Genomic DNA, 16,368 nt, shown 5'->3' on the forward strand with positions numbered 1-16,368 from the left:
CCACCCCACAACCCGGTGTGTGATGTTCCCTTCCTGTGTCCAAGTGTTCTCATTGTTCAATTCCCACCTATGAGTGAGAACATGCAGTGTTTGGTTTTTTGTCCTTGTGATAGTTTACTGAGAATGATGGTTTCCAGCTTCATCCATGTCCCTACAAAGGACATGAACTCATCATTTTTTATGGCTGCATAGTATTCCATGGTGTATATGTGCCACATTTTCTTAATCCAGTCTAACATTGTTGGACATTTGAGTTGGTTCCAAGTCTTTGGTATTGTGAATAGTGCCGCAATAAACATACATGTGCATGTGTGTTTATAGCAGCATGATTTATAATCCTTTGGGTATATACCCAGTAATGGGATGGCTGGGTCAAATGGTATTTCTAGTTCCAGTTCCCTGAGGGATCACCACACTGTCTTCCACAATGGTTGAACCAGTTTACACTCCCACCAACAGTGTAAAAGTGTTCCTATTTCTCCACATCCTCTCCAGCACCTGTTGTTTCCTGACTCTTTAATGATCGCCATTCTAACTGGTGTGAGATGGTATCTCATTGTGGTTTTGATTTGCATTTCTCTGATGGCCAGTGATGATGAGCATTTTTTCATGTGTCTGTTGGCTGCATAAATGTCTTCTTTTGAGAAGCGTCTGTTCATATCCTTCGCCCACTTTTTGATGGGGTTGTTTGTTTTTTTCTTGTAAATTTGTTTGAGTTCTTTGTAGATTCTGGATATTAGCCCTTTGTCAGATGAGTAGATTGCAAAACTTTTCTCCCATTCTGTAGGTTGCCTGTTCACTCTGATGGTAGTTTCTTTTGCTGTGCAGAAGCTCAAAGCTGGAGGCATCACACTACCTGACTTCAAGCTATACTACAAGGCTACAGTAACCAAAACAGCATGGTACTGGTACCAAAACAGAGATATAAACCAATGGAACAGAACAGAGCCCTCAGAAATAATACTACACATCTACAACTATCTGAACTTTGACAAACCTGACAAAAACAAGAAATGGGGAAAGGATTCCCTATTCAACAAATGGTGCTGGGAAACCTGGCTAGCTATACGTAGAAAGCTGAAACTGGATTCCTTCCTTACACCTTATACAAAAATTAATTCAAGATGGATTAAAGACTTAAATGTTAGACCTAAAACCATAAAAACCCTAGAAGAAAACCTAGGCAATACCATTCAGGACATAGGCATGGGCAATGAAATCAGATCTTTTTCCTATTCTCTGTTTTTGTTGAAATTTTTGGATTTAAACAGTGAAGGCAGGTTTTGAGTCATATTTCAGTTGTAGGATTTCTAAGAGAAGGCACACATGTTTCCTGGATACTGACCTATTCCTACCTACCACTTCACAGAAAAATGGTTTTCCTAGACATTGTGTTCACCCTAGAGGCTCATCTCTCTTCAGCAGACCTGGCCCTCTCTTAACCATTTTTTCCACTCAATTTCCATCTCCTCCGTGAAGCCTTTCCTTAGTACTAAAGAGATCATTTCTTTCTTTGAGCTCATAGCAGTTAAAATCTGCACCAACCTTTGTTTTGCCTTATGTACTGCCTAATGAGAGAACTCATATTAGTATATTATTTTTAATGGGTAAGTGCATTATTTCTTTGAATTATAAAGTAACAGTGGGGGAGAATAATAAAATGTTTTAAGTAATTGGCATTAAAATACTGAAAATAGACACTCATTCTTTTGTGTGCAGAAGGATGGTTGCAGGGACCAAAAGGTCCAGGTTATTTTATACCTTGTGGAGTCTCACTCTGTTACCCAGGCTGGAATGTGGTGGTGTGATCTTGGCTCACTGCAACCTCTCCCTCCCAGGTTCAAGTGATTCTCGTGCCTCAGCCTCCCAAGTAGCAGGGACTACAGGCAGGCACCACCATGCCTGGTATATTTTTTGTATTTTCAGTAGAGACGGAGTTTCACCATGTTGGCCAGTTTAGTCTCAAACTCCCAACCTCAAGTGATCCGCCCGCGTTGGCCTCTCAAAGTGCTGGGATTGCAAGAGTGAGTCATCACGCCCGGCCACCTCACAGTCATATTGACATCCATAGTAGAACACTTTTAGTTGTGTTATTGGATATAGCTGTCTCTGAGCCTTTTATGTTCTCACAAAAATTAAGACTTTTATTTGTAAGCAGAAAAGAGGAAAATTGGTAAGGGGCAGTGCAGGCATTTCTAGTAATTTTGGTTCTGCAGGCCCCCTGGTTACATTTATCTTCCAAATTTGAAAATATATTCTCAACAAATTTAGTCCTCGGCATCATTCTTATTCTACCACTGAGAGTGTCAAGTGTGGTACCATTAGGATGGCAATTTTATGTGTTGATCCCGCCTAAAAGCCAAATTCAGATTCATTTCACTCACAATGCCAACCATGTGGTCAACTTCATCCAGTTCCTTGGTTGTAACCTAGATTTCAATGGACAAAATGTAATGTGAAGGCTCCATATCTTATTACCTAATTCTGAGTGATCAGTCTTCCACTGTTGAGTATCAAATATCTACATTTATCATACCAGATCTTAATCATTGTCAACTGTGCAGAAAGATCCTTAGAGATTTTTTTATGCATTAAATTCTGGAAATTCTCAGGTACGTTTCCCTAAAATGCGTAAATCCTGCTGCTGTCCTGTGTGCATACATACAAATCATAATTTAAATGACCTATTTAAACTTTAGGTTTAGATAATTTGGAGGGTGAGTCTAGAATGAAGCTATGGAAGAGAAATTTTGAATGAAGGAATTTAGATATCTCTCACTTGTATTGCAAAAGCAAGAAGTGTGAGTTCTCATTCATGCAGTTTAGTCTGATTATTCCAGGTGTGTCATGGGAAGAAAGCTCGAATCTTTATCCCTATCGCTACGCATGGTTTATTTGATGCATTCGTAAAAATGTAGGTAATATCTAGTGCTCTTTCTTCTTGCATATTAAGCTTTGATTAACATATGGTAATAATGTAGCGTTGTTGAGTTGTCCAAATCTTAAAAAACATGAAATATGGAGTACAAAATCACACATGTGCAAACTGAGCTAATATTTCTTTCCCCCAAATAAGCAAGTTTTTCATCTAGATTATTTTCAGTTATAGAAATTGATTATATCCTCATGAAAAGAGTTAGTAGTTTGAAAAGAAATCTGCAATGTCTGAGGTATTTCATAATACAACAGAAATAGGCAAAATAAAAAGAAAATTTGTACTTAATGCAAAAAAAAATATTCATTATGCTCATTTAGAGAGAAACAAGTCTGAAAAATTTCAGCACCAAGGTTAATTTTTATTATATAATAAGTGCACAAAAACAGAGTTTGGAAAAGGCATGATTTTCAACCACTTTTTCTAGCATTAAGACTAAAATAAAAAAACTAAAATGAGGCAAATCGTTGCAAAAGAGACTATTATAAAAGATAGTAAGTAAATGTACACAGCATTCATTATATCATCCTGTTTGCAGCACTGCATTTGAGATTGTGTCAGCACTTCCATTGTAAGCCTGTACTTTGAGGAATTTGGAATTTGGCCAATAAAAGATCATTCTGAACTGAAAGTTGGCACAGAAAATTTCCTCCCATGAGCAAAAGTTGTTTTCATTATTTCTTCTTCATCATTGTCTTCTTTTTTCTTTCCTTTTTACAAAATTCCATGAAACCTCATCTGGTTGCTTTTAAGCTTGGATATCTAAAGTAAGAGAGCCAACCCAATGATTTGAAGACAATACATCTTTTGTCCATCTGGGCAAAATTTGTATTTGGCATTTTATGTGAAAGAGCCATACAATTCAATTGGGAGTATTTAAAGAAAGAGTAAAAACTAATTTCAAAAGACCTCTTAGTCATTACCTCTAATAATGAAGTTAAAAGGAACAAAATGAGGGTGAGAGAGAGCTTATTCACTTACTCCCATTATTGTGCGCATTACTTTATAGCTATTAATAAAAACTGTTCTTCACAGCACTTCTGCATAGTTTCATACCCATTTATTTTACAGCTTTATTGATGTATTTTATATATACAATAAAATTAGCCCATTTTAAGTGTACAGTTCTATGAGTTTTGGTAAATATGAATAGTCATCCAACTATCACCAACCACAGTCAAGTTTCAGAACAATTTCATCAGCACAAAAAGTTCTCTTATTCTACTTACCAGTCATTGCCCATCCCTAATCTCACCTTAGCCCTAGGCAACTACTGATCTGGTTTTTTTTGCCACTACAGATCTGCCTTTTCTAGAATTTTCTGTAAATGAAATCAGATAATATATAATGTATTACGTCTAAATTGTTTCACATAGCATGTTTTTGAGGGCCATCTGTCATCTTTAATGTATCAGTAGTCTATTCCTTCGTATTGCTGAGTAGTATTTCATTGTTTAGATGTACCAGAATTTGTTAATCCTTTAGTGAGTCATAGACATTTGGGGCTATTTCCAGTTTGAGACTATTATTAATAAAACTGTTATTACATACTTGTGTGCAGGTCTTTATGTAGGCGTGTTTCTACTTCTCTTGGGTAAATCCTACCTCAGGGTAGGATTGTAGGCTCCTATGATAAATGCATGTTCAAATTTATATGGAACTGCCAAACTCTTTTCAAAAGTGGATGTGCCATCTTGCATTTCCACCAGCAATATATGAGGGTTCTGGTTTCCCTACAAGTGTCTCTTCTGAAAGTTTCTTACTTAAAGTCTATTTTATCTGATACAGGTTTAGCCACCAAAAGTCTTTAGTTATCCCAGTGGTTGTGTACTGATACCCAACTGTGCTTATTTGCCATTTGTATATTTTTTTTAATGAGTTGTTTTTTCAGACCTATCACCCCTGCCCCTTTTTTATTGGGTGTTTGTCTTTTTATTATTAAGTTGAACGGCTTCATTAAATATTTTAGAAAAGAGTTCTTTGTCAGATATATGTTTAGCAAATGTTTTATACTAACGTGTTGCTTCCCATTCCATATTATTAATGGTATTTTTGATCAGCAAAACTTTTAAGTTTTATGAAGTGCAATGTATATATTTTCATTTATGGTTTATTTACTATGTGTCCTATGAAAACTTTGCCTAACTCAAGTTCTCTAAGATTTTCCCATTTTCTTCTCAAAGTTTTATAGTTTCAGCTGTTAGGTTTGGGTCTCTCATATATTTCAAATTAACATGTGTGTTATTCCATTTTGCATCTCTATAAGGGAATACCTGAGGCTTGCTAATTTAGCAAGATGAGAGGTTTATTTTGGCTCACAGTTCTGCAGGCTGTACAAGAAGCGTGCTGCCAGCACCTGCTTCTGGTGAGGTCTTCAGGAAGCTTACAATCAGGGCAGAAGGCAAAGGGGGAGGAGGTGGTGTATATCACATGATGAGAACAGGAGCAAGAGAGGAGGTAAGAGGTGCCAAGTTATTTTAAACAGCCAGATCTGGCATGAACTAATAAAGTGAGAACTCACTCATTATGGTGAGAATAGCACCAAGCTATTCATGGAAGACCCACCCCCAGGACCCAAACTCCTCTCACTAGGCCCACCTCCAACACTGGAGGTCACATTTCAACATGAGATTTGGAAGGGATAAAACATCCAAACCATATCAATGTGTATGCTGCATCCAGTTTTGTTGGTCTCAAGATTTTTAAATTTCCCTTTTAATTTCTTCTTTGACCGATTGGCTATTCAAGAACATGTTTGATTTCAATGTATTTGTGAATTTTCCAAGATTTCTCTTGTTATTTGTTTCTAGTTTCATACTATAGTGGCTAGAAAAGATACTTGATATGATTTTCATCTTCTTACATTTGAGACTTGTTTTGTGACTTCACATATGATCTATCCTGCATAATGTTCTTTGTTCACTTGAAAATAATATGTATTCTGCTGCTGTTGGATGCAATATTCTGCATATGTGTGTTAAGTCCCTTTGGTCTAAAGTGTTGTTCAAGTCCACAGTTTCCTTGTTGATTTTCTGTCTGGATGATCTATCCATTATTTAACATGCCATGTTAAAGTCCCCTATTAATATTGTATTGCTGTCTATTTCTCCCTTCAGTTCTGTTAATAATATTTGGTTTATATATTTAAATGCTCCTGTACTGGGAACATATATATTAAATACTCCTCTACTGGGAACATATATTTATGGTTTTTATATTGTCTTGATGAGTTGACTTCTTTATCATTATATAATGACCTTCTATGTTGTTTGTGATAGTTTTTAACTTAAAGCCTATTTTGTCTCATGTAAGTTTAGCCACCTCTGCTCTCTTTTTGTTACCAGTTACATGGGCTGTTTCTTTCTATCCCTACTCTTTCAGCTATGTGTGACTGTAAAGCTAAAGTGAGTCTCTTGTAGGCAAAATACAGTTAGAACTTTTTTCAGTCCTTTCAGTCATCCTATGTCTTTTCACTGGAGAATTTAATCTATTTACAATTTAAATAATTGCTGATAGGTAAAGACTTACTACTGCCAGTGTGGTAATTGTTTTCTGACTGCTACTTATTTCTGAAGGAACAAGTAATTTATTCTATTATTCCTCTCTTGTTGTCTTCCTTTGTGATTTTGATGATTTTTTTTGTAGTGGAATGGTTTAATTTCTTTATCTTTTTTGTATTTACTATCTGTGTCATTATCGTGAAGCTTACATAAAATATCTTACAATAGTCTATGTTGAACTGATAATTACTTCAACTTCATATAAAAACTCTCCACTTTAATTATTCTTCCCCTACATTTTATGTTATTAGTGCTGCAATTTTCATCTTTTATATATTGTGTATTCATTAGGAAACTATTTTATAGTTATTTTTAATACTTTATCATTAAACTTTTATAAGAATCAAAAGGTATTTATGCACTACCATTATGGTATTAAAGTATTCTGAATTTGACTTTTGATGTTTATAGTGGTTTTTATACTTTCATGTGTTTCATATTGTTAAGTAGCATTGTTTCGTTTTAACTTGAATAATTCCCTTTAGCATTTCTGGTACAGCAGGTCTAGAGGTAATGAACTTCCACAGCTTTTGTTTGTCTAGGAAAGTCTTCATCTCTCTTTTGTTTCTAAAGAATAGCCTTGCCTGGTACAGTATTGTTGGTTGGCAGTTATTTTTTTTCTTTCAGCACTTTGACTACATCACCCTACTCTCTCCTGGGCACCAATGTTTCAGCTGAAAAATCCACTGATAGTCTTATGGAGAGTCCCTTACATGTGACTAGTTGCTTTGCTCTTGCTACTTTCCAAATTCTCTCGTTGTCTTTGTCTTTTGGGTATTTAATTATACTCTGTTTCAGGGAAGATCTTTTTATAATTAATCTATTTGAGTTCTTTTGGGCTTCATAGATCTGGATGTTTATTTTCCACTTCAGACTTGGGATATTTTCTGTCATTATTTCTTTAAATAAGCTTTCTTCCACTTTCCTTTTTTGCTGATTCTCCTGGGAGTCTCATGCAAATTTTGACTTGCTTAGTGGTGTCTCATAAGTTCTCTAGGCTTTCTTCATTCTTTTTCTTTCTCTCTTTTTTCCCTTTTTATTCCTCTGACTGGGTAATTTCAAATGACCTGTCTTTGAGCTCACTGGTTTTTTTTTCTTCTGTTTCATCAAGTCTGCTGTTAAAGCTCTTCATAAAACTTTGCAGTTGAGGCATTGTGTTATGTAGTGCTAGAATTTTTGTTTGGTTCTTTTTATGATTTCTCCCTCTTTATTGAATGTCTTCTTTTGTTTATGCATAGCCCTCCTAATTTCATTCACTTGTATATCTGTGTTCTCCTGTAGCTCACTGAGCTTCCTTAGGATGTTTACAGTTGTCCCTCAGTATACATGAGGAATTGGTTCCAGAACTGCCCACATATACCAAAATTCATTCATAATATAATCCTAGTCAGCCCTGCAGAACCTACATGTATAAAAGTCAGCCCTCTGTATACACAGGTTTCATTTCCTGTGAATACTACATGTTTTATTCATATTTGGTTTTAAAAAAAAAATCTGTGCAGGTGGACCCACAGAGTTAAAATGTGTTGTTCAAGGATCAGCTGTATTTTGAATTATCTAAGTTTGTGGATGTCTATTTCTTAAGGGTCAGTTACTAGTGATTTATTTTTTCACTTTGGTGGGGTCATGTTTCCCTGATTATCTGTGATCCTCTGACCTTGCTTTTGTGTCTGTTCATTTGAAAAAGCAGGCACTTCTTCTATTCTTTTCAGACTGGATTTGTCAGGGAAAACCCTTCACCAATCGGGGAAACATGACACCACCAAAGTGAAAAAATAAGTCACTAGTAACTGGACCTTAAGAAACAGAAATCCACAACTTAGATAATTCAAAATACAGCTGACCCTTGAACAACATGTTTGAACTATGCAGTTCCATCTACACAGATTTTTTTTCTTTAACCAAATGTGAATTAAAAATGCAGTATTCGCAGATTCCATAGTTTCTTGGCAGGCCATCTTGTGGGGCTCACAGGTGCCAGCCTGGCACTAGGGTGGGCCAGCCTGGAGCCTGGGTCTGTGGGTGTTAGCCTGGATCCCGGGGCCACCAGGACCAGCCTGGTGCTGGGGTGGGCCTGGAGGTGGATTATAAGAACAGACCTAGGTCCTCAATCCACGTGCTTGCCTAGAGCCTATGCCTTTTGGGGCAATCTGGAACCTTGTTCCATGGGGCCTGACCTGTCACTGGGGTCCACTAGATAGGCCTGGACTCAAGGTCTGCTGAAGTAGGCTTGAACCCTAGTTTTTTTGAAGCGTGAGGGTATTGGAGCCAGTAGTCTGGAGCCTGGGTCCATGGGACCTGGCTAGGTACCAGGTGTGCTTGGAAAATGTATCTGAGGTGGCTGGTCTGGAGCCTGGTCTCCACTGGTGCCAGTCTGATGCTGGGGTGGGTCTGAATGCTGGGTCCATGGGTGCTGGCCTGAAGTTTAGGGCTGCAGGGGCTTGCTTGGCCTTGGTCAGGCCTGAAACTTGATGCTGACCTGGAACCTAGGGCCTAAGGGGGTGGCTTGGCACTGGGGTAGGCCTGGAACCTGGAGCTATCCATGTAAATTTTAATCAGCTTGTTTATCTCTCAAAAAAAAAAAAAAAGCAACTTTCTTTTTAATCCTACTGGAGCTTTTATTGACTGTGATGTATCTGTAGATCAGTTTGGCAAGAATTGCCATTTGAACAACATTGAGTCTTCCACTTTGTGAACATGGTGTGCCTCACTATTTTGGCAGAGTAGGAGGTTAAGCCTTCTTTAATTTATCTGAGAAATGATTTTTTTGCAGATTTAAGTGCTCGAGTTTTGTACATTATTTGTCACATGTGTTAAGGTTTTTAATTATTTGGCATTATAAATAAATTTTAAAATTTCCTTGTAAAATTGATATTAGTTACGTAGAAATATAAGTGACTTGTCTTTTAACCTTGTACCCTATGATTTTGCTAAATTCACTTAATTGTTCCAGTAGCTTTCCTTTGGATTCCTTAAGATTTTCTGAGACAAATATTTAAGGCTCTAAATCTCCCCATAGTTACTGCTTTAGCTGCATTCCGCTTTTTTTTTTTTTTTTTCCTGAGACAAGGTCTCACTCTGTCACCCAGACTGAAGTGCGGTGGCATGATCATAGCTCACTGTAGCCTTGAACTCCTAGATTCAAGTGATCCTTCCGCCTCAGCCTCCTGAGTAGCTGGGACCACAGGTGTGCACTTCTACGCCTGACTAATCTTTAAACATTTCTTGTAGAGACAGGTGTTCTGTGTGGGAGACGCATGAAGGGAGAAGAAAAGGCCCACATACACACAATACCTTTAAGGGTAAACAAGCTTTATCCCATGTAAATGGCAATGCAGATATAATAAGCAAATGATATAATAAGCAAATGCTATAATAAGCAAATTAATATAATAAACAAATGCTATAATAAGCAAATTGCAATGGGAAGGGGAGAAGGGAAAAGATATATATATATATTTACACTCACCAGACTATGGAGGATTCACCACCAGACTGGGAAGCAAGAGCCTGGGCTCCAGAGTCAGACACCGCACTCACCAGACTATGGAGAATTCAGCACCAGACTGGGAAGCAACAACCTGGGCTCCAGAGTCAGCCACTGATCCGTGCACAGACGATGAGAGGTCTCATGAAGCTTCGGTACAGTCTAGGACTCTAGCTCTTTTTGTAACAAGTTGTTTGGCATGAGACCCAGTCACAAGGGCCCTTCGCGACTGGGCTCAAGAAACACAAAAAGGTCAACTTATTTTTGCGATTGTCTATTGTTTTTCAGTAACTAAGGTATAAGAATAGATTGAAATAGAGATTTCTCTGAAACAACACTGGATGAACGCCTCAAAGGGCTCAGACAACCTGTTCCGGGACCATTGTTTGTGTCCATGTTCAATTGAGTTCACATTTAATATTTAACTTTTTCTCCACAGCAGGGTCTTCCTGTTTTGCTCAGGCTGGTCTTGAACTCCTGGCCTCAAGTGATCCTCCTACCTCAGCCTCTAAAAGTGCTGGGATTATAGGCATGAGCCACTGCACCTGGCCCCATTCTACAAATTTTGATTTGTTGTTTCATTTTTAGTCAATTCAATGTATTTTCTTATTTCTTCTTTGACCCGTAGGTTATTTATTTTTTTAATTTAATTTTATTTTAGATTCAGGAGGTACCTGTACATTTTCCTCACCTGGGTATATTGCATACTGGTGGGGATTGGGCTTCTAGTGTACCCATTACACAAATAGTGGACACCGTACCTAACGTGTTATTTTTCAATCCTTCCCCCGCTTTTAGATTTCCCAGTGTCTCTTATTTCCATCTCTATGTCCATGTGTACCCATTGTTGGTTCTCTGTTTCTGTGTTAGTTCACTTGGTATAATGGCTACCTGATCCATCCGTGTTGCTGCAAAGGACAAGATTTCATTCTTTTTATGGCTGGATAGTATTCCATGGTTTCTATATATCAAATTTTCTGTATCCAGTCAACTATCGATAGACAATTATGTTGGTTCCATGACTTTGCTATTGTGAATAGTGCTGCAATGAACATACAAGTGCAGGAGGTATCTTCTTTATATCATGATTTATTTTCGTTTGCTATTCATGGGTTACTTTGAATTGTAACAATATGTGGGAATTTCTCAGATTAATTTATATGACTCATTTCTATTTAAATTCTGCTGTGGTTAAAAAATAAAATTTCAGCTCTTTAAAATTTATTCAGGCTTGCTTTATGGCTTAGAATATGGTCTGTGCTGGTGAATATTCCATGTGCACTTGAAAAGAGTACGTGGCCGGGTGCAGTGGCTCACGCCTGTAATCCTAGCACTTTGGGAGACAGATGCAGGCAGATCACCTGAGGTCCAGAATTCAACACCAGCCTGACCAACATGGAGAAACCCCATCTCTACTAAAAATACAAAATTAGCCGGCTGTGGTAGCGCAGGCCTGTAATCCCAGCTACTGGGGAGGCTGAGGCAGGAGAATCGCTTGAACCCGGGAGACAGAGTTTGCAGTGAGCCAAGATTGCACCATTGCACTCCAGCCTGGGCAACAAGAGTGAAACTCCGTCTCAAAAAAGAAAAGAAAAGAATATGTGTTTGTTTTTAACCTGAAGTTTTCTATACATGTCAGTTAGTTCTGGTGGTTTATATAGTTTTTAAATCTTCTGTACCTTTTCTGAATTTTTGTCTACCTTTTCTAACAGTTGTTTAAAAGAAGAGAATTGAAATCAACTATAATTTTTGATGTGTCTATTTTCTTTTCAATCTTAATTTTTGCTTCATTTGTTTGGTTGCTTTGTTGTTAGGTGCATAAGTTTATATACTCTTATAATTGGTATATCTTTGATCCTTTATCATTATAAAATACTCCTCTCTTTCTCTAGCAATATTTTTGTCTTAAGATCTATTTTGTCTGATATTAATATCATCTCTCCAGTCTTATGCTCATCCTCTGCGTGATGTATTTTTCCATCCTTTTACTTTAAACCTATCTTTAACCAGGTGTAGTGGTTCATGACTGTAATGCCAGCACTTTGGGAGGCCAAGGCAGGAGGATCACTTAAGCCCAGAACTTTGAAAACAACCTGGTCAACATAGTGAGGCCCCATCTCTATAGAAAATTTTAAAAGTTAACTGAGTATGATGGTACACACCTGTAGTCACAGCTACTTGGGAGGCTGTGGCAGGAAGTTCGCTTGAGCCTGGGAAGTTGAGGCTGCAGTGAGCCATGATTGCACCACTGCAAACCACAGTGGTTGAAGGAATGAGAAACTGTATCTTAAAAAAAAAAAAAAAAAAAAAAAGGCTGGGTGCAGTGGCTCAAGCCTGTAATCCTAGCACTTTGGGAGACTGAGGCAGGCAGATCACGAGGTCAGGAGATCGAGACCATCCTGCCTAACACAGTGAAACCACATCTCTACTAAAAATACAAAAAATTAGCCAGGCATGGTGGCGGGCGCCTGTAGTCCCAGCTACTCGGGAGGCTGAGGCAGGAGAATGGCATGAACCCAGGAGGCGGAGCTTGCAGTGAGCTGAGATTGAGATTGTGCCACTGCACTCTAGCCTGGGCAACAGAGCAAGACTCCGTCTAAAAAAAAAAAAAAGAAGAAGAAGAAGAAGAAGGCTGGGTGTGGTGGCTCACACCTGTAATCCCAGCACTTTGGGAGGCCGAGGAGGGCAGATCACCTGAAGTCAGCAGTTCGAGACCAGCCTCACCAACATGGAGAAACCCCATCTCTACTAAAAATAGAAAATTAGCTGGGCGTGGTCACACATTCCTGTAATTCCACTACTCGGGAGGCTGAGGCAGGAGAATTGCTCGAACCTGGGAGGCAGAGGTTGCAGTGAGCCGAGGTCACACCATTGCACTCCAGCCTGGGCAACAATAGCAAAACTCCATCTCAAAAAAATAAAATAAAAAAAGAATTAAAAAAACATTTTTTAGATAAAAAATAGATGATGATACCACCACAGTTGCTTTTTATTTTCCCCCTTTCTATTCCAGACTTTGTCCATATGCTTATGTACCAATTTTAGCATATTCGGTTTTAGCAGTTAAATTTTTTCTACCATTAGAACTTTCCATCTTTATTTAATATTATATCATATACATTTTTGATGATGTGATATTTCAGAATTCCATGTTGCTTCATCAGAATTACTTGTATTACTTTAATGAAATGTCTGCACTATTTCTTATGATAAATGAGGAAACAGGTGTAAATAACAGAGTTAGAAAGTAGCAGCACCAGGTTTTGTAACCAGGCAGTCTGAGTCCAAAACTCACGGCCTCAAGTAATATGTCATCTGTTTCCTATGTGATCATGTTGAATTTTTGTTTAACATAAAGAAGAAAATAAAACTTAACTATTATTTCATAACCCAAAGATAATACTACTGCTCGTATTTTATTTCCTTCCAGACTTTTAATGCAAGTATGGATATTTATTTTTTATCCAGAAAGCAGCATATTATATATTGCTGTATTATCTGATTTTTCTCAGCTATCTGTTATTAATATTTTATATGAATAAATAGAAAACTATCCGTTATCATATTAATGGCAGTTTAGTGTTTCATTGTGTAGATGTGCCACAGTCTGTTTAATCAATCTAAGACTATTGAACATTTTGGTCACTTTCAATGTTTTTCTATGTTCAAACAATCATTCAAGGAACATCTTTGTATTTGTATCTTTGGACACATCTCATGATTTTCTTAGGGTAAATCCCTACAATGAATGGTTGGATATTCAACAGTATTTTTAAAGTTGTTTTTAAGGTGTTTGTTGGGTCTAGCTAAATTGTCCTACCAAAAAATAAATATATTCAAACTCTCAAAGGCAGTATATAAAAGTGTCCGTTCCTTTGTACTACATATTTTATGATATCATATATGCCAATTTTATAGTAAGGAATAAAATCATAATAGCATTTATTGAATTTTACTATATTCCCTGTGCTATGCTGAATACTTTATATGTTATCTAATTTAATTCTTATATGACCCTCTGAAATACATACCCCATTGTACTGATGAGAGTGAGGGTCAATATGAGAGATAAGAGAGTCAATAATTTGTCTAAAGTCACAAACATTAATAGAGTAATATTATACTCTATAGTGATCTGACATTAATTGTAGAGTTCTAGCTACTGCAGTTTATTAGTTTCTAGTGTGTTTCACCTTTTAAATACAATTATTAGCTATTTATACTATTTTGGAAACTCTGTAGCTATAACCTACTTTCATTTCAAAATTTTCTTTTTTCTTTTTTTAAAATTATATATAAGGAACCTTGTTGTGGCGGGGTGTTGACACTTTGTCATCATGTTATCCTAGTTTGTCCCTTTCCTTTGTTTATAATCATTTTGAATGGTTTAATTCTTACTGTAGTCAAATATACCACTCTTTATCTTTATTATTTTTACCTTTGATATTGTGCTTATGGCTTCTCCAATATTAGAATTTTTGCTGTTTGTTTCTGTTTTCTTACATATAACAGCATTATCAAGATATAATTCATGTACAGTACAATAAAACTCACCCATTTAAAGTGTGCAATTGACTGGGTTTTTTAGCATATTCATAAGACTGCACAGCCACCACTATGTTCTATCTAAGAACATTTTCATCACTCCCAAAAGAAACTCGATAGCAGTCATTCTCCAAGTTCCCAACCCCCTAGCTCTATGCAACTGGTTACTTTCTCTCTCTCTCTCTCTCTGTGGATTTACACCTGTATTTGTTTTGCTAAGTACTGTTTAAATAAGAAAAGAAAAGCATCATTTCTGTGTTGGAGGACAGTACTCAAATCAACCTTGTGGGCCAACCATGTTCTAGCAAACACTTTTCCATCTATGTGTGAAATTTGGAGGGAAATTGTTTAACGTGGTCTATATATCTAAAAACAGAAACCTAGTTATGATTCTGTATTCAGTCTAAGCACATTTAAACTTAGAAAAGTAGTACATAAAATGTTCATGAAATACATGAATGGACTCAGTGAATATGTATTAACTTATTTAACTTCCTTTGAATATACATGATGATGATAAACTTTTTGTTGGCTCCTTTCTATTCTTCTTTTTAAAAGATACTTGACTAGTTAGCTGGCTCCTGTTTGAAAATTAGAGGGTAGAGAGACAGGGTCAGAGAGCAAGAAATCCTTATAGCCCTGTAATAAACAGAACTTGCATCCAAAGATAATGATAGTAGATACTTTGTGTTTCTATAGCAGTTTATGGTTTTCAGATATAATCATTTTAATGCAGCAGTCCAGAAATATTGGAAAGTAATAGGGTCTTTCTGAATCTGTGCTCATACTTCATGTTAAATTCCCTAGAGTTATCAAAATAACTTCTAGGATTATGCATTATCAGGCCCATTCCTATAAGAGAATTTTCCATAGAAGAGAACACATTTCTTTTTAGTCTCCAAAGACTAGAAAGATTCCCACCTAACTATAAAAAACATATAATTAATTCACTAGACTAATTCACAGATTTTGTGTTTATGTTATAAAATATAGATTTTCCTTCAATCTCCCTTAAATAACAAAGAGAATATTCCTTTCAACTGCAATGTATATAAAATAGCATTTAGTCTTTGTGAATCTATTAAAAACAACTTAAGAGATAAACTGTATAAAACACTATCAGCCAGGATAGGCCAAGGGTAACAAATAATCCCAAATTCTCAGTGCCCTACACTAACAAATATGAGTTTCTTCCATTCTTCTGTTATATGTCTGCCATGGGTCAACTGTGGTTGTACCTCCTGCAGCCTCCCTCCAGGATCCAAGCTGATAATATGGCCTTGTTACTGGATATTGCCAGTATCACTGAAGAAGAAAAAGGTGACAAGCCACCTACAAAGTCTTAAAGCTCTGCTTGAAGATAAAACACTGTTTTGGCTCTCATTCCATTGGGCAAAGTAAATTACATGGCTCAGCCTGGCATCAATGGAAGTACATACGTATATACATATGTATGTATACACACACACACGTGTGTGTATATATACACATACATACATATACACACATACATGTATATATGTGTGTATATATGCACATACACATATATTTATATATCTGTAATATTTCTACATATATGTATGTGTATTTTACACATATATGTAAATGTATGTTCAGATATGTAATGCATGTATTTATATGTGCACATATGTAATATATTTACATATATGTAAAATACATATACATACATGTAGAAATATTACATATATGTAAATATATGTGTATATATACACACATATATGCATATATGTATGTGTATACATATACGCATATATGTATGTGTATACATATACACATATATGTATGTGTATACATACATAAATATATTACATATATGTACA

At 36.5% G+C, this 16,368-nt stretch overlaps 1 protein-coding gene across 10 annotated transcripts in view, besides 1 other annotated feature; it reads left to right on the forward strand.

Moving 5' to 3' along the window:
• The window catches only part of ADAMTSL1 (ADAMTS like 1), a 1,004,318-nt gene that overhangs the window by 364,704 nt on the left and 623,246 nt on the right, over positions 1-16,368 (forward strand). The gene's annotated exons all lie outside the window — the stretch shown is intronic.
• Positions 14,474-14,975: an enhancer, noted in NCBI's record as "NANOG hESC enhancer chr9:18285808-18286309 (GRCh37/hg19 assembly coordinates)". NCBI's record gives its function as "activates a minimal SCP1, AML or CMV promoter by ChIP-STARR-seq in naive H9 embryonic stem cells {active_cell/tissue: H9 hESC(naive)}" and the evidence as "EXISTENCE:reporter gene assay evidence [ECO:0000049][PMID:30033119]".

This window comes from Homo sapiens, chromosome 9 (genome assembly GCF_000001405.40).
Source record: "Homo sapiens chromosome 9, GRCh38.p14 Primary Assembly".
Taxonomy (NCBI): domain Eukaryota; kingdom Metazoa; phylum Chordata; class Mammalia; order Primates; family Hominidae; genus Homo; species Homo sapiens.